At 38.1% G+C, this 25,561-nt stretch overlaps 1 protein-coding gene across 43 annotated transcripts in view, besides 1 other annotated feature; it reads right to left on the bottom strand.

Moving 5' to 3' along the window:
- The window catches only part of C12orf42 (chromosome 12 open reading frame 42), a 516,167-nt gene that overhangs the window by 294,730 nt on the left and 195,876 nt on the right, over window positions 1-25,561 (bottom strand). The gene's annotated exons all lie outside the window — the stretch shown is intronic.
- Window positions 8,320-8,489: an enhancer, noted in NCBI's record as "experimental_23171 CRE fragment used in MPRA reporter constructs". NCBI's record gives its function as "activates a minimal promoter by MPRAs in K562 erythroleukemia cells, with activity observed for the non-introgressed 12:103744536 variant allele {active_cell/tissue: K562}" and the evidence as "EXISTENCE:reporter gene assay evidence [ECO:0000049][PMID:34662402]".

Raw genomic sequence — 25,561 nt, forward strand, 5'->3', positions numbered from 1 at the left:
AGGATTGATGCCTTCTTGGGTCCCATTTTAAAAGGTACTCAAATAGAGAGGAGGGATGGAGAAAAACGAATATGCATGGAGCACCTACTGTATGCCAGGCACTATACTAGGTGTTCCATGTATAAATTCTCATCTAATCCCCAAATCTGGCCAAGTGTAGTATTATTACCCCATAGTAGACTATGGAAGAAGTTTAAGCAAAGTTAATCAGAAAGCCTGTAAGTTAGAAAACACATTAGCTCTTTTAAGTTTAAAAAAGAAAAAAAGCAAATCCAGATTCAAAGATTATATATTCATTTCCCCACCCCCCGCCCCCGCATCCCATCTTTCTACAAAAACAAGCCCACTCTTAAGCAAAACTTCATGACGGAAGCTACAACATGCAAGGACAGCTGAACTGCATTAAATTAGAGCAATTACGTCAGTTTCTGAAGGTCGACATTGATAGGAAAACTTCATTGTCCTGACACAGAGGTCTCCGCTGCTCTTCCCAGATGTCAGAAAGAAAATAACCAGGCAAGTGCTTGGGCACATGCAAGGGTGCTATTTCAGAACCCTTTACCTCCTCACCCTGTGTACAGCTTATACTCTTCATCTACCATGCAGAGTTCTAAGGAGCTGTCAGAGCTGTTTTACCATTTAATAAATAAAAAGAAAATATGCGAGTAGTAGAATTTTAGCACAAATCCAAATGGAATAATTCGTTTTCAAAATATCAATATTTGCTGCCAATGGGACTTAACAAAATTTAAAATTCTAACATTTGCAAGTGAAAACAAACCATTTCTACACCCAAGAAACCCACAAAATTATTCCCCTAAATGTCTTCCCATAAGAAATGGAGACATTTCATATCTTCCTTTAATTTTTTTCTATATAGGTATTTAAATCGCAAAATCAATTCCTTTTGATTAACTACTTTTTTGCCCTGATAAAAATAATAATTCAGTGCAGCAAAATTAAAATCTTCATTTAAAATGGGAAACCTGATGAAATCAAAGATTTTTTTGAAACTTTGACTACAGACAAAGTTTTTCATTTCAAAAAGAATATTTATAGAAGTCATTATGTAGTTGAATGATCTTAAAAGAAGCAATACAGTCAGCTGAGGCACTGGAATCAGTGCAAAAAAACACTTTCTGAGGCCGGGCATGGTGGCTCACGCCTGTAATCCCAGCACTTTGGGAGGCCGAGGCGGGCGGATCACCTGAGGTCAGGAGTACGAGACCAGCCTGGCTAACATGGTGAAACCCCGTTTCTACTAAAAATACAAAAAAATCAGCCGAGCATAGTGGCTGTAATCCTAGATACTCGGGAGGCTGAGGCAGAAGAATCGCTTGAACCCGGGAGGCAGAGGTTGCAGTGAGCCAAGATCACACCATTGCACTCCAGGTTGGGCAACAAGAGTGAAACTCTGTCACAAAAAAAAAAAAAAAAGAAAAAGAAAAAAAGAAAACATTTCCTGACATGCATTTTAATAGCATTTCAGATGCCAGAATTTTTACTAATACCCCAATTAAAACATGAGGAGAAAGTCCACTGTTTTTCTCCAGGGCTGTTAGTTCTAATGGTACAAATTCTTTGAATTGAAAACATATTAAGCACTACCAATTAGTATATCTGTGTGCCTTGAGTGTACATATCTACAATGAAAGACATTGATCTTTTTCATCTTCCAATCCAGACAAGAAGCAGTAGCCAACACAGGCATGTTACCAAATGTCACCTGATATGACCAAATTAGAAAAAGGGTGGAGGCCCTCCTACAGCTGTGCAAAATCAAGTCATTTTAGCTGTTTTCATTGTTGTTATACAATAAAGAGGGATGGCAGGGCAGCTGAATCTTGGATCAAGATAAAGAAGTCCTCCTCACCTCATTGGCAAAGATGAAAATTAATCTAATTCAAACTTCCCGGAGCTGTGTTCTCATGGTGCAAAGAGGACAGCTGCTGAAATGGTCATGTGGATGACAGAGGAGGGGTAACTATCAGACATTAAACCCCTCCATGCAGAATTATACACAAGAATTTTGTACACAGGCTGGCCAGTGAAGTCACCGATGGATGACAAGACCCACACAGCCCCTTTCCCCTATTTAGAAAGCTCTGGATTTTTGCCTGGTTCCAATTGGTGACATAATGACATGTCAGCCCCTACTTTGCTGCCTATATACCCATCTTAGAGAAATTGACCCACCCATAGCCTGGTACCATGTGACACACACACACAACAACACAGGTGATTGGGTAAGCCCTGGGATTGATTGGATCAATTAAACTGTTCATTCTCAAAAATCTGAAATTGAGGCACAGGGGCTAGATCAACTGGCTGGAAAGTCTGGTGACCTGGGAGACAAGGGCACATTTTGGGCTGCCTATGATCATCCATGTACAAACAGAGCAGAGACAGCTAGTCTACAGAAAAAGAAGAGTGAGGCAAGAGAAGACAGAGAGAGAGAGGCAGCTTTGGGAAAGGGAGATACAAAAAAGAGAAGTCACAACAGTGTATCAGAAAGGACACTGAACTGGGAGAAGTGACATGGTTCCAGTATAGGACAGCTACTCTTCACAAGGTAGCTCTGGGTGAATCATTTAACTTCACTGGATTCAGGTCCCATGATGGCAGTACAACTTAGTAGCTAAGACTTCAGCTTTTGCCTGACTTTTGGAATTAGGCAGAGTTAGGTTTGAGTCTCTGATCTTTATAAGCACTGTGACCTCAGTCACCTGACTTGCCCCTTTTGGCTTCAAATACTACATCTACAAAATTGCAGTATTAATTATACCCCTCATAAGGATTTTTGGGATCATTAAATAAAGGGATACATGTAAATCAGTTACACAGTCATCAACATAAAGCATCCAAGAAATATTAACTCTATAATAACTGGGAATTATTCACCTCTCTATGTATGTTTTCTCTTCTGTAAAATGCAGATAATAATAGGACCTTACTCATAGGATTCCTGTGAGGATCAAATAAGTTGATACACAGAAAGCACTTAGAAGAGTGCCTGGTGTATCATAAGGGCTCAGTAAATGTTTTATCACTATTATTGTTGTTGATGATGATGTGCTCATCATTATTATCATTATTCCAGTGCCATCCATTCACAGCACTTTTACCATCACCACCTTTGCAGATTAAACCAATTAATCAGAAAATTATGGGATTATGTTTGCCTCTGTGCAGAACTTTGTAAATCTTGGATGCTTCATTAGGACTAATTTTGCTGATATTCCTATTAAATATGTAGCCAGAGCAATAGTTCATTTCAATATGATTCTTGAATTTTATAGAAGCAAGCATTTTAAACTTATTCATGAAAGGAAAAATAAATAAATAAAAGCAACCTAAATGTCCCACAAGGGATAAATGTTTAATTCAATAGTATTATAGTAAGTCAACTGGGTATAATATTGTTGAGCCATGAAAAGAATATGTATACAGGTTTATTGAACTGAACTATGAAGCAATATAGAAAAAATGATGTAATGGTAAGGCAAAATATGCAATTGTAAATACTCTATGATTACTACTGTATGATAATAACTATGTACATGGGGCTATAAGCCTTCAAAGCAATGATAAGTGCACAGTTATAATTCTTCAAAGCAATAAGTTTTGTCAAGTTATGGAAATTGGAGAACTTCTCACTCCATTGACCATACTTCCTGAAATGAATTTTTCATAATAATTGAAATATCTGCAGCATGCTCTTATTAATTACAATTCTTCAATGTTAAATAACAAGAAAATTCATAGAAAAGAGATTCTTTTTCTTTCTACAACATAGAGGAAGCAGATTATAATCCTCCACAGTTTTGACTGTAATCACTTTCCTTAATTATATGCCATTAAATATTAAATTAGAATTGGTCAAATCTTTAAATAAATAATGTTATTACTGCTGTAACTAGCAGGTTATCTCCATCCTAATTCCATACAGCACATAACTGTGGTTTATAAATGAATAAACACATTAACACTAGTGCTTAACCACATATAATAAAGAATACTCTTTTTACTTTCTTTTTCTAAATTATTTTTAATTTATTTTTAAGCTATGGGTAAAAAATGTGTATATTTATGGTATACAATATGAGGTACCAGCACAGGTATATACTGTGAAATGGCTAAGTCATGCCATTTGATGTATAGCAGAACATTCTTTTTCCAAATCATCTCTGTGCCACGCAAGAGAGTCCTGAAATAAAGTGAGTCTCTAGTAGATGTAATTAGCAGAGAAAAGTTGTTACTCCTCTCTGGAAGCCTCAGTGTGACTACAAGAGGCACTCCTATACAAATGCATCTGTTTCCAGTAGTTTGCCCATCCTAAGCAGAATCCTTCCGCAACTGAGTGACATGGTTGCACTACAATACGCCATCTGTATCCAGATTCTCATGTGCTGTTGGCCCTGTGGATTCTATTCCAAAGTCAGGTACCATCTTGACAGAACTGCAGGTTGAAGCAAAGACTAGTGCATGAGGTATTTATGGCTTAAAACAAGTTTCCAACTACATACTATCAAAAATGCATTCTTGCTTAGCTGTTTAGTCTTAAGGAAAGTGGCAATAAGCTCATTGTTAATAAAGAAATTATTTATCATGCAGTGAGAAATATGGAACAGCTTGTTGGTCAGCCCTTCACAGAGCTGACATCACAGCATCACTGACAGTCTCCACCATCTTTTGTAATTACCACTTTTTTATTATTATTATACTTTAAGTTCTGGGTTACATGAGCAGAATGTGCAGTTTTGTTATATAGGTATACATGTGCCATGGTGGTTGGCTGCACCCATCAACTTGTCACCTATATTAGGTATTTCTCCTGTTATCCCTCCCCTAGCCCCCCACCCCCTGACAGGCCCCAGTGTGTGATGTTCCCCTCCCTGTGTCCATGTGTTCTCATTGTTCAACTCCCACTTCTGAGTGAGAACATGCGGTGTTTGGTTTTCTGATCTTGTGATAGTTTGCTGAGAATGGTGGTTTCCAGCTTCATCCATGTCCATGCAAAGGACATGAACTCATCCTTTTTTATGGCTGCATAGTATTCCATGGTGTATATGTGCCACATTTTCTTAGTCCAGTCTATCATTGATGGACATTTGGGTTGGTTCGAAGTCTTTGCTATTGTGAATAATTACCACTTTTATAGATGCTAAGAAATGTAGACAAGGTTACATGGCAAAATTCCATAAAATCAACAATAGCAAGTGAAAATTCATTATTCAAAGAACAGTGCCATCTACCAGCCATCATTCCCAGGTACAGCCTCTTCCCACTTCCTACTAAAATCTAAGCCTGAGAAATACACTATGCTTGATTCTAAAAGGCATTTATATAAAAAAGAATTGGAATGAGAACAAGGTGGGGAGCCATCCATAGCCATACTCTGCGAGATTAACAAAGGAGCCCCAACTGACTAAAAAACAGGAGGGAGACATTTTACTCCAACCAGTTGCCCACACACCCAACCCTAGAAAGCAAAGGTCTGTGGTTAATTCAATAATTGAAAGACAACTGGGTATAATATCATTGAGCCATTAAAAGAATATGTATATAGGTTTATTGACCTGAACTATGAAGCAATATCAAAAAAATTGATGTAATGGCAAGTTAAGGCAAAGCATGCAATTGTAAATACCCTATGATTACTACTGTATGATAATAACTATTCACAGGGAGAAACGAAATATATCAATATATCAATAAAACAAAATAAAAACAAAAAATCACAGCCACTCCTATGTATTATGCACACTGATGTGTAAGGCAGGCCATGTACTACTCTAGTCCCTGCCCTTGAACCATGCTGGAATGTATAAGAAAGAGATAAGAATGACAGTTGTACAGTCTATCCCAGAACCTAGAGATCTACATGTGAAGCATTAAGTCAGTGAGAAGCCTCATGGTAATAATGCTTGCTGGAGTTGTAAACTTTCTTATAATTCGTGAGTACCGGAAAACAAGACAAGGAAGATCCTACCTTATTGTGGGAGAAGAACACTAGAAGATGTAGGCAAAACCCTGGGAACAGGCCTAGCCTATACTTACCAACTAAAGAAAGATTGAAATAACTTCCAAGTGAACAATGAACAGAGGCAAATGACCAAATGACATCTGTACAACATGTCTTCTAAAAAACACCAAGGACCTGAGATACTGCTGTTCAAAGATTTTTTAAAATGTGAATTCATACAATGTTACCTATAAGCATAATAGGTACTTTTCCATAGCAAAATAGAGAAGGTTGTCTTGAAGGCTCAGAAAAACCTCCTGGAACCAGTCATTTCGGGAATTTTTGAAAAAGAGTTTTGCATCCTTAATGGTATACAGAAGACATAGCCTTACTGAACAGGAACAGAAACCAGGAAAAGAACAGGATAAAATGACAATATAAGAGCTTTTGATGATTAAAAACAACAGGATGAACAGCAAAGACCAATCAGCAGAGACAAAACAGAGCAGGGTGAGATAAGGAACAATTGCAAGGAAATTAAATGTCCAATAGCAAAATGGATGAATAAATTGAATAATCAACACAGTGACAAAATCAAATCAATAGGAGGATGCAGCAGACACTGTTGATGCAAATAGAAATCATGTTCTTCACAAACAGAAATCACCTTTTATTCAATATCCATACCTCAAGTAAGTCATCCTTTTCCCAGCTCAAGGGAAAGTCTCTACTAATGGTAGTCTCATTCCTCTTACTGTGATTAGTTTAAAGGAGGTCACATGACTTAGTTAAAGTCTGTGAGATCTGAGGGGAAGTCTGCTGAGAACTTCTGAGAAGAGTCTGCTCACTGACACAGGAAGAGGGCTGTTCTAGAATGTGAGGCCATCTTGAGAAGAGGAGAGAAACTAGGGCAGGATCTCTACACTGGGCATGGCAGCTTCTGTTAGTTGTACTTGACAGAGTCTCGATATGCAGAACAAACTTGAGAAGCCCACCTTTAATGAAGAAAAAAGAACAAAGAAATGAAAGTTGTGAGAGAATAGAAAATATGATGGAAGATGAGGAACCTAGGAAATTTCGGAGTTCCCTGTTGAAAACATAGAAAGAGTAACTGAAATCCAATCAATAAGCAAAGATATAATTTAAGAAAAATAATGTGGTGAAAAATCCTGATAATTCAAACCAAAAGAGTTCACTGTGTTTTAAGTAAAGTTAATTTAAAGGAGTCCTATATTAACTTATCCTAGCAAATTTTACTTTTCATCTCTTTTTTTTCATAAAGAAAAACTGTGTAAGTATCTTGGTAGAAAAATAAAGAACATCTACTTCTGTACAAAAATAAGATTGGTACCATGCTTCTTTTTATGCAATTTCAAATGCCAAAGACAATGTCCTAACATCTACAAACACTAAATAACTTTACTTCTTGTTAAATTTTTATTCACATGGAAATACAATGGTAAAATGTTTTTTAAGATACGCAAAGGATCAGGAAACATATCAAGTAAATGTTCTTCTTTAAAATTTTACTTGAAAATGTCCAAATTCTAAATTATATATACAAAAATGAGAAGTTGCATTAGGAGTAAGTATAGTCCACAAAATTCCTTGCTTTACAAAGGAATTAAAATATACTTTTTCATGAATTTTTCAATTATAAAAATACAAATTGAAGAATATTGTGGAAAGGGTTAAATGTATTTGGGAAAAGATTAAAATGACCAAATTTAGGAAGATAAGATAATGACCAAATTTAGGAAGATAAGATAATGACCAAATTTAGGAAGTTTCCAGCCATTATTTCTTCATATACAGAAGACCCCCTTATCTACCATCTCACTTTCCATGGTTTCAGTTATCCACACTCAACCACAGTCTGAAAATATTAAATGGAAAATTCTGGAAATAAACCACACATACATTTTAAATTATGCACCATTCTGAAAAGCATGATGAAATCTCGTGCCATCTTGCTCCATCGCACCTGAGAGGTGAATCACCCCTTTGTCCAGTGTATCCATGCTGCACATGCAACCTGCCCACTAGCCACTTCCTAGTCGTCTTGGTTATCAGATCAGCTGTCACAATATCGCAGTGCTTGTGTTCAAGTAATCCTTGTTTTAGTTAATAATGGCACCAACACACAAGAGTAGTGATACTGGCGTAAGGTTATAATTGTTCTATTTTATTATTAGTTATAGTTAATCTCTTACTGTGCCTAATTTATATATTAAACTTCATCATATCTATGTATAGGAGAAAACATAGTATATATAGGATCCGGTATTATCCATAGTTTCAGTCGTCCACTGGGAGGATCTTGGAATGTATTTCCCCCATGGATAAGAGGCAACTCTTATACTTTTTCAGTCCCACCTTCTACTCTTCTGCAGGAACCTCAACAATGCAAATGTTAGCACTTTGTTATTGTCCCACACATCCTTGATAATGTTCTTTTCTCTCAGTCCATTTTCTCTCTGTATTGTTCAGATTAGGTAAATCTAATCTGTCTGAATACCTGGATTTTCAAAAAGAGAGAAGTGAGGAAATCTTATTTAAATATATATTTCCCAGATATTTCACTAAAAATTACTGAGACTTTTTTTTTCTCCAGAGTTCTTTGTATAACTAGGTCCTTGCTTTTCAGATCCAGGTTTAACTGTCAGTTTCACAGGAAGTTACTTCAAGTTTACCTTCCTTATAGTCCCTTTCACAATCTGTAATTGCGTTGTTTGTATATTTTAATGGTTTATTTTCTGCTCCTTCCCCTAGAAAATAAGCTCTATAAGGTGTTAAATCAAGTTTAGCCTAAAGCTGCCTCCTTACATATTTTAAGTTCAGCCTAAAGGTTTTACTGTACATCGTGAACTGTAACAAGTTGAGGTGTAAGCAGACCACAGCCTACACTTGTGCAAATCACCAAGCAATCAAATGTAGCCAACTGTTTGAACCATGTTTAAATAAGGTAAACGCCAACCTGTAACCTATCCAACTGTTTCTGTACCTCACTTCCGTTTTTTGTTTCCCACTTTCCCTTTTCGGTCTGTAAATCTTCTTCTACCACATGGCTGCACAGAAGCCTCAGAGCCTACCCTGTCACGGAGGCTGCCTGATTCGCAAATTGTTCATTGCTCAATTAAACTCCTTTATATTTAATTTGGCTGAAATTTTTCTTTTATCAAAGGGCAAGGACAATGTCTCCTTCACCATTGATTTGCACATTCAACGCATACTATTTTGAATAGAAACTGAATAAATGTATCAGCTACCTCACACATGTCTGAGGAGAAACAACTGGCATTTCCCACATATTTTAATGATAGAGTCAGACCAAGAAGAAGTCGGGTAGAACATATGCACACAGCCTGGCGATTTTAAGATGTGTCACCCCTAAGAAGTAGAGCCCATTCGTGCTTCCTTCTGGCCTAGATGTGTCTAGAAGTCTTGATAAAATAAATTTTAACTGGTGTCCAAAAATAATTGAAGATTAATTTAAATCTTAATTTCAGTCTATTGAGGAAATACTGAAGAAGGTTTAGATTCACAAGACACAACAAATTCCTTAAAAGCCTCTTTTCTTAACTTTTGCTCATTTTCTCCCTCTCTATCCCCCTTCCCCTCCACCCTCTTCCTCTCTTTCTCCCCCATCACTCTCTCTTCCATATACACAGAAACTGTCCCTCCCTTCCTCTCCACAATCCTCCCCTGCTCCAAGCTCCCAGGAGCCCATCCTCACCCAGCTACCACCACAAGCTCCCTTGCCCTTCCTCTTTGCCCCACTTGACATTGTAATTCTTCTTCTCTTACTCTTGGAATTTTTCCTGTTCCTCTGTTTCCCTGGTTCTTCACTTACCCATTGCCCTGATCTGCCTAAGAAAGGCCAAGGAGCTTACTGGTGAGGGTAGAATTCTCCTTTACTTGTAAATTTGAAGCAGAGGCCAAGTAGGCTAAGAGAAAAAGAGAATTCTCGCTATGGAGGGAAGGAAAGAGGGATGGTGCTGTGCAGGATAGAGACTATGAAGAAATAAAAATAAGTAGCTTCACTCTATCACAATGGCACTAAAACAAGCAAGTACCAGATATCAAAGTATCCATATATCTTGGTATATTTCAAGACTTTGCTTTTCTCCCATTTTCAGTTGCTCCCTCTATCCCTTTCTCCTTCTGTATTATTTTTTCCTATGAGGCTTTCAATAAGGGTTTTCTAACTAATGAATAACAGCAACTGTGGGCTGAAACAGGAAATGATCTACCATATTATCTTACCTCTTTAAAGTCCCCGTGCACTAAGAAACATTAAAACATAGAGTGGGAAGATGAATCTAATTGTTGAAGGCACAATTAAACAGGCTTAAACAAACAGGCTTCAGGCATGGAAGAATAGCAGCATGGGTTACAGTCACAGGCTATGAAGGGTACCAGATCTAAATTGTCTCAATGCAACCACTTATTTTATCAGAAAATGGAGATAATAATATGACTATGCCATAGGATTTTTTATGAGGATTAAATGGACACTTGAGGAAAAGTGTCATAACAATACCTGGCACATAGTCAAGTTCAAGGAATGTTAGTTGTTTCTGTGGTTGAATTAGACATAGACCAACTGGTCGTGTCCCAAAAAACAGAGAAGTGTGGGTTTATCAAAGGTAAGCAGGCTAAACAAAGTTGAGACAAATGCATACTCACTAACCAAGGCCCTAATCACCATGTACTAAATGCCTTTCATTTAGCCTTTGCTTTTGTTTGCAAGTAAAGAACCTCACTGTGGTACTTTTCACTCATAGCAAAACTACACAAAATGTAGAGTCCAAAAGACACCTTGAGTTTTCCCTAAGGCGCAAAACAAGACTTTTGCACACTGAGAAATGCAGAGAGCCTACCTTCCACAGGGTTTGGACCAATGGACTGATGGCCGTGGTACTCATAGAAAATGTCACCCCTTTTGTTCTCATGGAGTTCCACTGGATTAAAAAAAAAAAGAGGGGGTGGGGGGCAAGTACAAAGACTTGAAGGCACCAGTGAGAGAAGGCGACTGTGTTTTATTAATCCATGTGATTAATCCAGCATGCTAAGGAAGATAGTTTACAGAATCAAAACTTGCATGTTTTGATCCACATGGATTAGGAAACTGCTGCATTCACTTGCCAGTACCTCTTCTGCTTTGTGCTTGAGTTTTATTCTTCAGGGTCCAGCAGGAACAAAAGAGAAAGAGTGTTTATGTGAGGGCCAGTAGCAGAGGCACTTTGACAATTGTCTTTCTCCCCCTCCCTCTCTGGGAGACACTTCCTGAATTTCCCAAGAACTAAGCCCCAGGTTTGTATTTGCATCATTTCTCCCCAAAAGCTGAACAGCTAAAAACTACCCCCCAAATGCAAATTTCTGTCAACCCATGAAAAGTGGTTTTCACCAACAGGAGGGATGGAAAAATCCCACTCCAAACACTTCGCAAGACAGTGGTGAGAATGACGCAGAAATATTCAAGGATCCAGTGGGAACCACCAGCCCTTCACGAGGGTGAGCAACCTGAAAGAGTCCTGTCGGCATCTGAAAGGTTTCTCACAAGCTTTAGTGTGAGAGGAATGGGAGACTTTGGATATGCCAAAGAAAGAGAAAGAAATCTTCAGGGAATCAGAGAGAGAGAGTTACCCAGCAAGGCTCAATCAGGCTTCACCGCTTTCCGTTGCCTATAATGTGATTCTGAAACCTAGCATGAAGTATACGTGTACAAACTAAGATGATTTGAATCCATTTCATCTCTTCTTATTCTACCTAGGAGAAGCAACAATGAGTCATCTGCACAAAACCTCTGTGGTCTACAATACAGCAGTCTCCAATATTTGTGAGACTTTTCAAAGAAGGAGTTGGTCTGAGGCTGCTATTAGTCCAGTAGAATGATGGTGTATGATAACAGTCACAGAAACCTTCCCAAAGCACATTTAGAAACATGAGAAGCACATGCCTTTCAGTTCTAGGGAGAATTACGGCTTCCAAGTGAAATTGGACTAGCCCAAGTAAAAGAGATCTCAGCTCCCCTCTCACCTTTCAGCCTCCCATCTGCCCATTTCTCCAAGTCATGGTCCCTATGCTACTTCAAAGACTGAGGCCAGAAGCTGGGAGACCTCCAAGGTAACATTCTGAGATCAACTGTTTGATAACAATCAATGCGGTTCATCAGAAATCTGAAAGTTTGTGAGGCCACCCTTTTAGAAATAATTGTACACTGTAAGACTTTATCCATATTTTTCCTATAGCTGCCTCCAGTACCCAGAACAGTGTTTGGTGCAGAGTCAGCATTTAATAAATATTTGTTAGATTGGTAAATGCATATAAAATTATAGATAAATAGGAAGAATAAGTTGGGGCATTCTATTACACGGTAGGGTAACTACAGTTAAGAATATTGTTTTGTTTTGTTTTGTAGAGATGGTGTCTCACTATATTGCCTAGGCTGGTCTCAAATTCCTGGGCTGAAGCAATCTTCTCAGGTTGGTCTCTCAAAGTGCTGGGATTTCAGGTGTGAACCACCATGCCTGGCCTATGGTTAACAATATTGTATTGTATATTATCAAATAACTAGAAGAGGGGATTCTGAATGTTCTCACCAAAGAAATGATACATGTTTGAGTGATGGATAAGCTAATTACCCTGATGTATCATTACAAAATGAATACATATATTAAACATCACAGTGTACCCCTCAAATATGTGCGATTACTATGTACCCATTACAAATAAAAATTTAAAAATAATAAATATTTGTTGAACTGTATCATAGAACTCATTGTCAGCTGCTTCCTTGTCCTTAGAGTATTCCCCCTTTGAGAAAAATCACCATGACCAATATGTCTGTGTATACCCAGCTCCTAGCAGAGCACTCAGCACATAGCAAGTTGTCAGTAAGTGTTGGCTAAATCTGTGGTCTGTGGCATAATCTGCTTATGAGCAGTCTTACCATATGGATCTCTGAAGAGCGTGATTTGTGTTTGTATGTGTAGGTGTGTTTGCACATACATGCATACACTCTTGTCTGCATATACTTCTGTATTGGTGTATGTATCTGGCTCTGAAGGCAGCAGCATGAAGGAAAATGAGAAGTCAGATGTCATACATTTTGGCTGGTCATTGACCCGCCCATCTGAAAGGAAGATGATCATTTCTACAACATTCTGCTTGTTGACCATCCAGGTTCTCATCAGTTGACTGAAGAATATTTTTTAAATGGGAATTCGATTATCCAGTCTCTTCCTCTACCTCCTCCTGCTGTATAGCCAAGGAGATGAACCCAGAGAGGTTAAACAGTTTGTACAAGGTCACACAGCCAGTGGTTGAGCTAGGCCTGGATCCCCAATAGCCTTACCACCTCCTCATTCCTCACATCTCAGCACCCTAGTTTGAGCACCATGACTCTAGAAAAACAGTTTTTGTCAATTTTAGCAAGACATCCTAGCTGTTAAATCAAATAGGCATTCTTAGTACATTTCTTAATTGTCCTCCCTTAGTATTGGATGCTAACTATCCTTTCCCTTTTCTTGAAACTCATGAAATCCTTTGAATGCAGTAAAAATAATGCTAGTAATTACTGAACATTAAATATGGGCCAGGCACTGTTTCAAGGACTTTAACTATATTGTGACATTCATCTCTCACAATAAATCCTAGGAGTTAGATATTATCATGATCCTCATTTTAACTCAAGGTAAGTAAAGTGCAGAGACATTAAGCCCAAAGTCAATGGCTAATTAGGAATTCAAACTTAAAAGTCTAACTCCTGACTGGGCGCTTCTAACCACAATGCCTCCTGTTAGCTTCTGTTCCTTCCCTACCTTTCTAGGTCACATGGCTTCTCAGCTTCCTCCCTTTTATGCCTCCTCCCTTCTCTTGATCATCTCATCCACTCTCAAGAATTGCTTATCACCTCCTGATGACTCCATAACTTTTTACTCTAGCTCAGATCTTAATTCTAAGTCACAAACAAACAGGAACCTTTTTAAACATGCCCACTAGAATGTCTGTATCTATTCAGGTGTATTAGGCAAAATGGTCTCCTTTGTTAACTTCTGTTCAGCTGGAAGAAATTAGATGTAGCTTAATCCAGTCTATCATTGTTGGACATTTGGGTTGGTTCCAAGTCTTTGCTATTGTGAATAGTGCCGCAATAAACATACGTGTCCATGTGTCTTTATAGCAGCATGATTTATAGTCCTTTGGGTATATACCCAGTAATGGGATGGCTGGGTCAAATGGTATTTCTAGTTCTAGATCCCTGAGGAATTGCCACACTGACTTCCACAATGGTTGAACTAGTTTACAGTCCCACCAACAGTGTAAAAGTGTTCCTATTTCTCCACATCCTCTCCAGCACCTGTTGTTTCCTGACTTTTTAATGATTGCCATTCTAACTGGTGTGAGATGGTATCTCATTGTGCTTTTGATTTGCATTTCTCTGATGGCCAGTGATGGTGAGCATTTTTTCACGTGTTTTTTGGCTGCATAAATGTCTTCTTTTGAGAAGTGTCTGTTCATGTCCTTCGCCCACTTTTTGATGGGGTTGTTTGTTTTTTTCTTGTAAATTTGTTTGAGTTCATTGTAGAGTGGCACATATACACCATGGAATACTATATACACCATGGAATACTATGCAGCCATAAAAAATGATGAGTTCATGTCCTTTGTAGGGACATGGATGAAATTGGAAATCATCATTCTCAGTAAACTATCGCAAGGACAAAAAAACCAAACACCGCATGTTCTCACTCATAGGTGGGAATTGAACAATGAGAACACATGGACACAGGAAGGGGAACATCACACTCTGGGGACTGTTGTGGGGTGGGGGGAGGGAGAGGGATGGCATTAGGAGATATACCTAATGCTAAATGACGAGTTAATGGGTGCAGCACACCAGCATGGCACATGTGTACATATGTAACTAAACTGCACATTGTGCACATGTACCCTAAAACTTAAAGTATAATAATAATAAAATAAAAAATAATAATAATAATAAAAAGAAATGAGATGTAGCTTTATAATGTTCCATTTTCTGTTCTCTTCATGCCACATGGGGAGGTTTCTTAATGCAAAAATAGCAATCTAATCCCTACTTGTTATTTTAAGTAAATCCATATTTGTTGCTTTTAACCAAAGAGTTAAGTATGTTATAAGAGGAATGCTCCATCTGTCTGCTGCAGGCAAGGTCCCAGTTGCTCAGCCATTTGGGACTCCGAAAACTCCTTCTTTGATCATTGCCATCATACTGGGCCTGGCATCTGACATCATGATCATAACTAGGAGAGAAAAATGAGGGGCTGATGCTCCACTGATGAGGGAATAACATGGAGTCAGTCTTCACCAAAAACTCCAAGTTTCTTTTGTGGATCAGTTTTAACCCCTTTCATTGGCCAGTTCAGCCAGGTGCTATATTTGCTGTAGCATTCATTTACAAATAAGGCCAAGTAACAACGTTATTCATAGAATAAATTTAGGCAGCAGTAAGCCTGAGGTTGTTTACCACCACTGAAACTCTAGGTGCTGTTATCAATTAGTGTTTGCTGTGTAATAAACCATTCTAAAACATAACTTTTTAAAATTATTATTTTCCAAGATTCTGTCGGTTGACTGGGGTGTTCTGCTCTGAGTCTGCTCATCTTAAGCTGGATATTTTAGGATGACCACCTTGTATGTCTAAAAATTGGTAGACTGGTTGGTACAGTAGGGGCTTCACTCACATGTCTGCTGTCATTTGGGGTGACGACTCCATGTTTCTCATCATCTTAGGCTCATTCATAGAATGACATAAGGGTTTCCATCAGCAAGAGGGCAAACCCCAATACTTTTAAATTACCTACTTATGTAATATGTTTTAATGTTTCATTAGCCAGAACAAGTCATGTGGTCAAGCTGAGATCCAAAGGATAGAGAAATAAACTCCACCTCTTAATGGGAAGAGTGACATTCAAGAGACCAATGAATTATCATGGACATTTTTGCAATTTTGTGGCATTTTACTTAATCAAGTCCTAAGAAGAATAGAGAGATCCCAGGGATATGAGATGACTGGAGTTATTCAAGGGCAGCATCTGGAATAAGCCATTTCAGGAGTAAGAGCAATTCATCCAAGTTAATCAAGATAGCAATCTCCAAAAACCCCCCAGACTTTGTGACTGAGTCCACAGAAGACATAAGTCTTATTCTACTCTATATGTTTCTTTCTAAAACTGGTCCTCACCTAACAATTCTCCAACCCAGTAAATGGCAGTACCATCACCATCACCCATATTGTTTCAAACCAAAAAAAAAAACAAAAAAACTCAAGAATTATTGTGAATGCCTACCTCACCCTTATCTAAATATCTTAATCATTAGTGAAGTTTACTGGTTTTATCCATCTAAAAATTGTCTCCATCCTTCACCCACTCATTCCCATCTGTCATTACCATCATCAGGTTCTTCTTTATCTCTCACTTGGACTTTTACTGTGAACTCCCTGCTTCCTCACTTGTTCCCCCCTACAATTAATTATCCAGACAACAACAGTGTGATCATTTTTTAAAGTAAATAAGAAGTGGTACAGCTCTACCTAAAATCTTGAATAATCTCCCACTGAGCCCAGAATAAATCCAAAACTCCCCATTGTAACCTAGAAAGTTCTTCATAGTCTGGACCCTACTTGACTCTTAATCTCAAATCACGCTACTCTTTTCCTTCTTCTGGCCACACTGGTCTCTTTTCTAATTTTTAGACACATAAATACACATATCTTGTCTCTCTGGCCAAATGTCAATTCCTCAGAGTTCTTCCCTGACCTCCATATCTTAAATGGCCCCAATCCTCTTCAATCTTGGGTTATTCTCATTCAATAATCTTTTTTTTTATCTTTTTCTTACCTTTTTAAAAGAAGTCTAAGGTATATAGCTTTTAAAGATCTGGTTCATTGAAGTGTAATTTGTAGAGTAAAATTCACTCTTTTTAATTCCCAGCTATATGTGTTTCATCAAACACACAGATTTGTAACCATTATCAAAATTAAGCTATAGAACATTTCATCACCTCAATGAACTCTCCAAAAAGTTTTACAAAAACTGAAACAACCCAAATGTTCTTCAGCTGACAAATAAACAAACTGTAGTGAATTCATACAATGGAAGACCACTTAGCCATAAAAAGGACTATGAATATATATATATACAAGGATGCATTACACTAAATGAGACGTTTGATTTAAGAAATTACATGTTGTATAGTTTCATTTATATGACTTTCTGGAAAAGGTAAGATCATAAGGGCATAAAACAAATCAGCATTTGTCAGGGCTGGGGTAGAGAAGGGGTGGATTATGAAGGGGCATGAGACAATTCATCCACCTCTTTTTTCATAGCTTTCATTATAATCTGTAATAATCTTGCTTATTTATTATTTAGTTATTAATTGTTGCCTTCCTCAAAAGGCATATTCCAAGAGGGCAGGAACCCATCTCTTACTCACTTCTGTGTCTCCAGAAACTAGCATGGTGCCAGTTGTTTAACAGGTGATCGATTTTTCTTTGTTGAATGACTTAATGAATATGTAAGCCCTTCCCCAACTTGACCTTCTCCCTGAATCCTCAGCTTTAACCCATGATCCTGCCCTGTGAATATTACCTCCTAAGTAGTTCTCCTAGTCATCCCCTTTCCCTTACTGCCATATCCATGCCCTTGTTGTTTTTTACTTAGATGATTGTAATAGCTCCAAAAGTAGTTTTCCTACCTGTAGTCTTGCCCCTTCAACCACTGTCTCTAACTGCTGCTAGATATGATCAAATTACATCACTCCCATGCAACTTGATCATATCTAGCAGGAGTTAGAGACAGTGGATGAAGGGGCAAAACTTAAAAAAAAAAAAAATTAATGGTTCCCATTGCCTAGCAACCAACCTAGCTATGGCTCTTCTCCATTCCCAGGTGCTCAACCCTAATCACCACCTACTAGCAGGGCTCTGCTCCTATCCAGATATGGCTCCCAGAACCACAATGCTGCTCATCTGTCCTAAGGATGACTCCTACCTCCAACTAAGTGAGTCCCTCATTCTGGAGGGTTCCTATTGTCTTCCTAGTCCCTCCCATCAGTGCCTCCTCAATCCCAGCATGCCTAATGGCTTCATGTCTCCAAATCTAAGTCAAATATCAAGGAATTTAGGGCTATCAGAGCAAATCATGTAATTATAAACTATGTTATTTCTCAAAGTTATACCCATAATCTCAACTCTCAAGATCCTAGTATACCAAATCTTGAAGTCACATATTTTTCAGCTAGTGATAGTGGCAATTATTTTCTCTGTTCCTCCATTGTGTTTTTAAAAGAATAAAGAAGTTGGCATTTACTTTTATTGAGTTACCACAGTAGGCTGGAAATAAGCCTAAATTACTCTTTCCATAAAACTATCAAAAGCAGGATAGGTCAAAATCAACTTTTAATATGTGCCATCAAAGCCGTGAAATATGAAATTCATATGATTTTATTGGGCCCTTTGGGGGAATCACTAATGCTCATCAAAGGGCACAAGCTAAATAAGTTAAAGTATATCCATAAAATATATTACTCTGAAGTTGTAAGAAAAATGAATGAGGCTCTGGATTCCAGTACCAGTTTATACTCTTGCACCATTTGAGTTTCCAACTGCAAGCCTTTAACAGGGATCTGGGGGAAAAAAATGTTGTATGGAGGCAGGACAAGATTGCAGCTCTCACTGGGACAGACAGAGCAGCATGTGGAGACTTATATCATGAACTTTTACTCCAGAGCTACTGCAGAAATATACCAGGAAAGCCGAAAGAATCCACAGACCCTATGAAGAAAGTGGTTTCCTCCTGCAGGACCCAGGAGACAGCCCAAATACTGTGAGCGCCCAAGTTGTGAAAGTGGGAAAGGGGTATTATCTGCCCCCGAACACACACCCTCACTGAGGAACCTCAAGGTCTAGATTAAGGGAAAAGGATTTGACCTTACCTGGAGCTGAGTCAATTTAGAGAGCCGAGTGAAATACAGGGGTAGAGGAAGCAGCAGGAAAAGCCCTGTGGGCTCTCTAGGTCCCTGGGAAGCAATTTCTGACTTGCCTCACAGGGTTCCTTGGGGAGGGCTGCCAGAGGTACTGGGAAAAGACCACAGGGAGAAGGAAACCTCCAGCTGAACTTTGTAGCAATTCCAACCCAATGCGAAATCTCCTGGCCAGAACTCAGAGGAGGGGAATCCAGTAGACTCAACAGGCAGGGAGGTGCAAAAGCCCTAAGTGCTTTCTCAGTTGAGAGGCTGCTAGTCCAGGGAAAGTTCTCAGCCCTGCTCACCCACTGCCTAGAAACAAACTTGGTACCTACGGTGGGAGTGAGATTAGCCTTTTGTGTTGCATGGGAGCTGGGTGAGGCCTGTGACTGCCAGCTTTCCCCCACTTCCCTGACTACCTGCATGACACAGCAGAGGCAGCCATAATCTTCCTGGGAATATAACTCCATTGACCTGGGAATCACACCCCCATCCCCCACAGCAGCTGCAGAAAGACTCACCCAAGGGGAGTCTAAGTTCAGACACACCTAACCCTTCCCCAACCTGATGGTCCTTCCCTACCCACCCTGGTAGCTGAAGACAAAAAGCATATTCTCCTGGGAGTTCTAGAGCCCCCACCTACTGCCTGATCCTCACTATACTACCACAGCTGATGCCCTCTTGAAAGTGCCACTTCCTGGCAGGAGGCCAACCAGCACAAAAACAGTGCATTAAACAACCAAAATTAAGGATTCTCACAGAGTCCATTTTACCCCCCTGCCACCTCCACTGGAGTAGGTGCTGGTTTCCACAGCTAAGAGATTTGCAAAAGGTTCACATCACAGGACTCTGTGTAGACAACCCTTATTACCAGCCTGGAGCCTGGTAGCCCTGCTGGGTGGCTAGATCCAGAAGAGAAGTAACAATCACTACAGCTCAGCTCTCAGGAAGCCACATTGCCAGGAAAAGGGGGAGAGTACTACATCAAGGGAACACCCCATGGAACAATTTAATCTGAACAGCAGCCTTGAACCCCAGATCTTCCCTCTGACATAGCCTACCCAAATGAGAAGGAAACAGAAAAACAATTCTGGTAATATGACAAAACAAGGTTCTTTACCACCCCCCAAAAAAATCACACTAGCTCACCAGCAATGGATCCAAACCAAAAAACAAATCCCTTATTTACCTGAAAAATAATTCAGTAGGTCAATTAAGGAGCACCAGAAAAAGGTGAAGTCCAATTTAAGGAAATTGAAAACATGATATAAGAAATGAAGGGAGAAATCCTCAGTGAAATAGATAGCATAAGAAAAAAATCACAACTTCAGGAAATAAAGGACACACTTAGAGAAATGCAAAAGCTCCTGGAAAGTCTCAGCAATAGAATCAAAAACAGCAGAAGCAAGAACTTCAGAGTTCGAAGACAAGGTTTTCAAATTAACCCAATCCAACAAAGACAACAAAAAAAGAATTTTAGAAAATGAACAACACCTCCAAGAAGTTTGGGATTATGTTAAATGACCAAACCTAAGGATATTGGTGTTCCTGAGGAAGAAGAGAAATCTAAAAGTTTGGAAAACATATCTGGGGGAATAACTGAGGAAATCTTCCCCGGCCTTGCTAGAGACCTAGACATCCAAATACAAGAAGCTCAGAGAACACCTGGGAAATTCACTGTGAAAAGATCATCACCTAGGCACATTGTCATTAGGTTACCTAAAGTCAAGATAAAGGAAAGAATCATAAGAGCCATGAGGCAAAAGCACCAGGTACCCTATGAAGGAAAACCTGTCAGATTAACAGCGGATTTCTCAGCAGAAACCTGACAAGCCAGAATGGATTGGAAACCTTTCTTCAGCCTCCCTAAACAAAACAATTATCAGCCAAGAATTTTGGATCCAGTGAAACTAAGCTTCATAAATAAAGGAAAGATACACTCTTTTTCAGACAAACAAATGCTGAAGTAATTTGCCACTAACAAGCCAGCACTAAACTGCTAAAAGGAGCTCTAAATCTTGAAAGAAATCCTGGAAACATCAAAACAGGACCTCTTTAAAGCATAAATCTCATAGGAACTATAAAACAAAAATACAATTAAAAAAGACCAAGGTATACAGGCAATGAATAGCACAATTAATGGATTAGTACCTCACATCTCAATACTGACATTGAAAGTAAATTGCATAAATGCTCCACTTAAAAGATACAGAATTGCAGAACGGATAAGAATTCACCAACCAAGTATCTGCTGCCTTCAAGAGACTCCCCTGACACATAGGACTCACACAAACTTAAGGTAAAGGGGTGGAAAGACATTCCATACAAATGGACACCAAAAGCAAACAGAAATAGCTATTGTTATATCAGACAAAATAAATTATAAAGCAACAACACTTAAAAAAGACAAAGACAGACATTATGTAATAATAAAAGGTCTTATCCAACAGGAAAATATCACAATCCTAAATATATATGCACCTGACACTGGAGCTCCCAAATTTATAATACAGTTACTATTAGATCTAAGAAATGAGATAGAAAGCAACAAAATAATAGTGGAGGATTTCAATACTCCACTGACAGCACTAGACAGGCCATCATGGCAGAAAGTCAACAAAGAAACAATGGATTTAAACTATACCCTAGAACAAATGGACTTAACAGATATTTACAGAACATTCTACCCAACAACTGCAGAATATACATTCCATTCATCAGTGCATGGAACTCTCTCCAAGATAGACCATGTGATAGGCCACAAAACAAGCCTCAATACATTTAAGAAAGTTGACATTATATCAAGTACTCTCTCAGACCACAGCAGAATAAAACTGGAAATCAACTCCAGAAAGAACTTTCAAAGCCATGCAAATACATGGAAATTAAATAATCTCTTCCTGAATGACCATTGGGTCAACAACGAAATCGATAGAAATTTAAAAATTCTTTGAACTAAACAATAATAGTGACACAACCCATAAAAATCTCTGGATACAGCAAATATGATGCAAGGAGGAAAGTTTATACTCTTACATGCCTATATCAAAAAGTCTAAAAGAGCACAAATAGACAATCTAAGGTCACACCTCAAGGAACTAGAGAAAAAAGAACAAACCAAACCCAAACCCAGCAGAAAAAAGGAAATAAAAATCAAAACAGAACTAAATGAAATTGAAACAAAAAAGAAATATAAAAATAAATGAACAAAAAGTGTGTTCTTTGAAAAGATAAATAAAATTAATAGACCATTAGCAAGATTAACCAAGAGAAGAGAAGATCCAAATAAGCTCAATTGGAAAGAAAATGAGAGATATTACAACCAACATCAGAGAAATACAAAATATCATTCAAGGCTAGCATGAACATTTTTACCTACATAAAATAGAAAACCTAAAGGAGATGGATACATTCCTAGAAATACACAACCCTCCTAGCTTAAATCAGGAAGAATTAGAAACCCTGAACAGAACAATAACAAGCAGCGAGATTGAAATTATATTTTAAAAATTACCAGCCAAAAAAAGTCCAGAACCAGGCAGATTCACAGTTGAATTCTAGCAGACATTCAAAGAATTGGTACCAATCCTATTGACAGTATTCCACAAGATACAGAAAGAGGGAATCCTCCCTAAATCATTCTATGAAGCCAGTAGCACCCTAATATGAAAACAAGGGAAGGGCATAACAAAAAAATACAGACCAATATCCCTCATGAACATAGATGCAAAAATCCTTAACAAAATACTAGCTAACCAGATCCAACAGCATATCAAAAAGATAATCCACCATGATCAAATGTGTTTCATACCAGGGATGTAGGAATGGTTTAAGATATGACAGTCAATAAATATGATACACCACACAAACAGAATTAAAAACAAAAATCACATGATAAACTCAGTAGATGCAGAAAAAGCATTTGACAAAATCCAATATCTCCTTATGATTAAAACCCTCAGCAAAATTGGCATACAAGTGACATGCCTCAATGTAATAAAAGCCACCTATGACAAATTCACAGCCAACATACTACAGAACGAGGAAAAGTTGAAAGTATTCCCTCTGAGAACTGGAACAAGACAAGGATGCCCACTCTCAACACTTCTATTCAACATAGTACTGGAAGTCCTAGCCAGAGCAATCAGACAAGAGAAATAAATCAAGGGCATCCAAATCAGTAAAAAGGAAGTCAAACCTGTTGCTGTTTGCTGATGATATGATTGTATACTTAGAAAACCCTAAAGACTCCTTTAGAAAGCTCCTAGAACTGATAAACGAATTCAACAAAGTTTCAGGATACAAAATTAATGTACACAAATTAGTAGCTCTGCTAAACACCAATAGTGACCAAGCTAAGAATCAAATAAAAAACTCAACCCTTTTTACAGTAGTTGCAAAAATAAAATAAAATACTTAGGAATACCTAACCAAGGAGGTGAAAGACCTCTACAAGGAAAACTACAAAATACTGCTGAAAGAAATTGTAGTTCACATAAACAAATGGAAACACATCCCATGTTCACAGATGGGCAGAATCAATGCTGTGAAAATGACCATACCGCCAAAAGCAATCTACAAATTCAATGCAATTCCCATCAAAATACCACCATCATTCTTCACGGAACTAGAAAAATCATATGAAACCAAAAAAGAGCCTGCATAGATAAAGCAAGACCAAGCAAAAAGAACAAATCTGGAAGCATTACATTACCCAACTTCAAACTATACTGTAAGGCCATAGTCACCAAAACAGCATGGTACTAATATAAAAATATGCACATAGACCAATGGAACAGAATAGCAAACCCAGAGATAAACCTAAATACTTACAGCCAGCTGATCTTTGACAAAGCAAACAAAAACATAAAGTGAGGAAAGGACACCCTATTCAACAAATGGTGCTGGGATAATTGGGAAGCCACATGTAGAAGAATGAAACTGGATCCTCATCTCTCACATTATACAAAATTCTACCCAAGATGGATCAAGGAGTTAAATCTAAGACCCAACACTATAAAAATTCTAGAAGATAACATTGGAAAAACCCTTCTAGACATTGGCTTAAGCAAGGATTTCATGACCAAGAACCCAAAAGCAAATGCAATAAAAACAAAGATAAATAGGTAGAACTTAATTAAACTAAAGAGCTTTTGCATGGCAAAACGAAAAGTCAGCAGAGTAAACAGACAACCCACAGAATGGGAGAAAATCTTCACAATCTATACATCTGAGAAAGGACTAATATCCAGAATCTAAAACAAACTCAAACAAATTAGCAAGAAAAAAACAATCCCATCAAGAAGTGGGCTAGGGACATGAATAGACAATTCTCAAAAGATATACAAATGGCCAACAAACATATGAAAAAATGCTCAACAACACTAATAATCAGGGAAATCCAAATCAAAACCACAATGCGATACCACCTTACTCCCATAAGAATGGCCATAATCAAAAAATAATAGATGTTGGTATGGATGTGGTGAAAAGAGAACACTTCTACACTGCTGGTGGGAAAGTAAACTAGTGCAACCGCTATGGAAAACAGTGTGGAGATTCTTTAAAGAACTAAAAGTAGAACTACCATTTGATTCAGCAATCTCACTACTGGGTATCTACCCATAGGAAAACAAGTCATTATATGAAAAAGATTCTTGGACATGCTTGTTTATATAAGCACAATTCACAGTTGCAAAAATGTGGAACCAGCCCAAATGTCCATCAATCAACGGGTGGATAAACCGTGATATATATATGATGGAATACTACTCAGCCATAAAAAGGAATGAATTAATAGCATTCACAGCAACCTGTATGGGAATGGAGACTATTATTCTAAGTGAAGTAACTCAGGAATGGAAAACCAAACGTCGTATGTTCTCACTCATAAGTGGAAGCTAAGCTATGAGGATGCTAAGGCATAAGAATGATAGAGGGACTTTGAGGATTCAGGGGAAATAGTAGGAAGTGGATGAGGGATAAAAGGCTACAAATTGGGTTCAGTGTATAATACTCTGATGATGGGTGCACCAAAATCTCACAAATCACCACTAAAGAACTTACTCATGTAACCAAACACCACCTGTTCCCCAAAAGACTATGGAAATAAAAAAAAAAAGAAAATAAAGAAAGAAAAAAAAAGAAAAATGAATGAGAAAGCACTCAATGCACTGACGTGGGAAGAGCTCCAAGATACAGTGATAAGTGAAGACTGAGGTGCAGAATACCGCTGCTCATCTGTATACTTTCATTTGCTCATAAACACACTTTTTTGCTTAGAGAAAATATTGAAGGATTCTCAAGAAAACAGTAAAAGTGTTTTCCCATGGGAGAAAGGGGAATGAGGCAGATTGGAGCAGAAGTAGGAAAAAGACTGTCTACTATGTACCTCTTTATATTTTTAGTTTTTGAACCATGTAAATGTATTATCCCCCCCCAAAAAAATTTTCAGTTCTTTTTAAGTAGAATTTGAGTGTGTACCACAATGTGATACTCAAAAAACTCATTAAAATTACATTACTCCAAGAGTTTGAAGCCATTATAAAATCAACTAAACCTTTCAATGGCCCTGATATG

The sequence above is a fragment of the Homo sapiens genome, chromosome 12, assembly GCF_000001405.40.
Source record: "Homo sapiens chromosome 12, GRCh38.p14 Primary Assembly".
Taxonomy (NCBI): domain Eukaryota; kingdom Metazoa; phylum Chordata; class Mammalia; order Primates; family Hominidae; genus Homo; species Homo sapiens.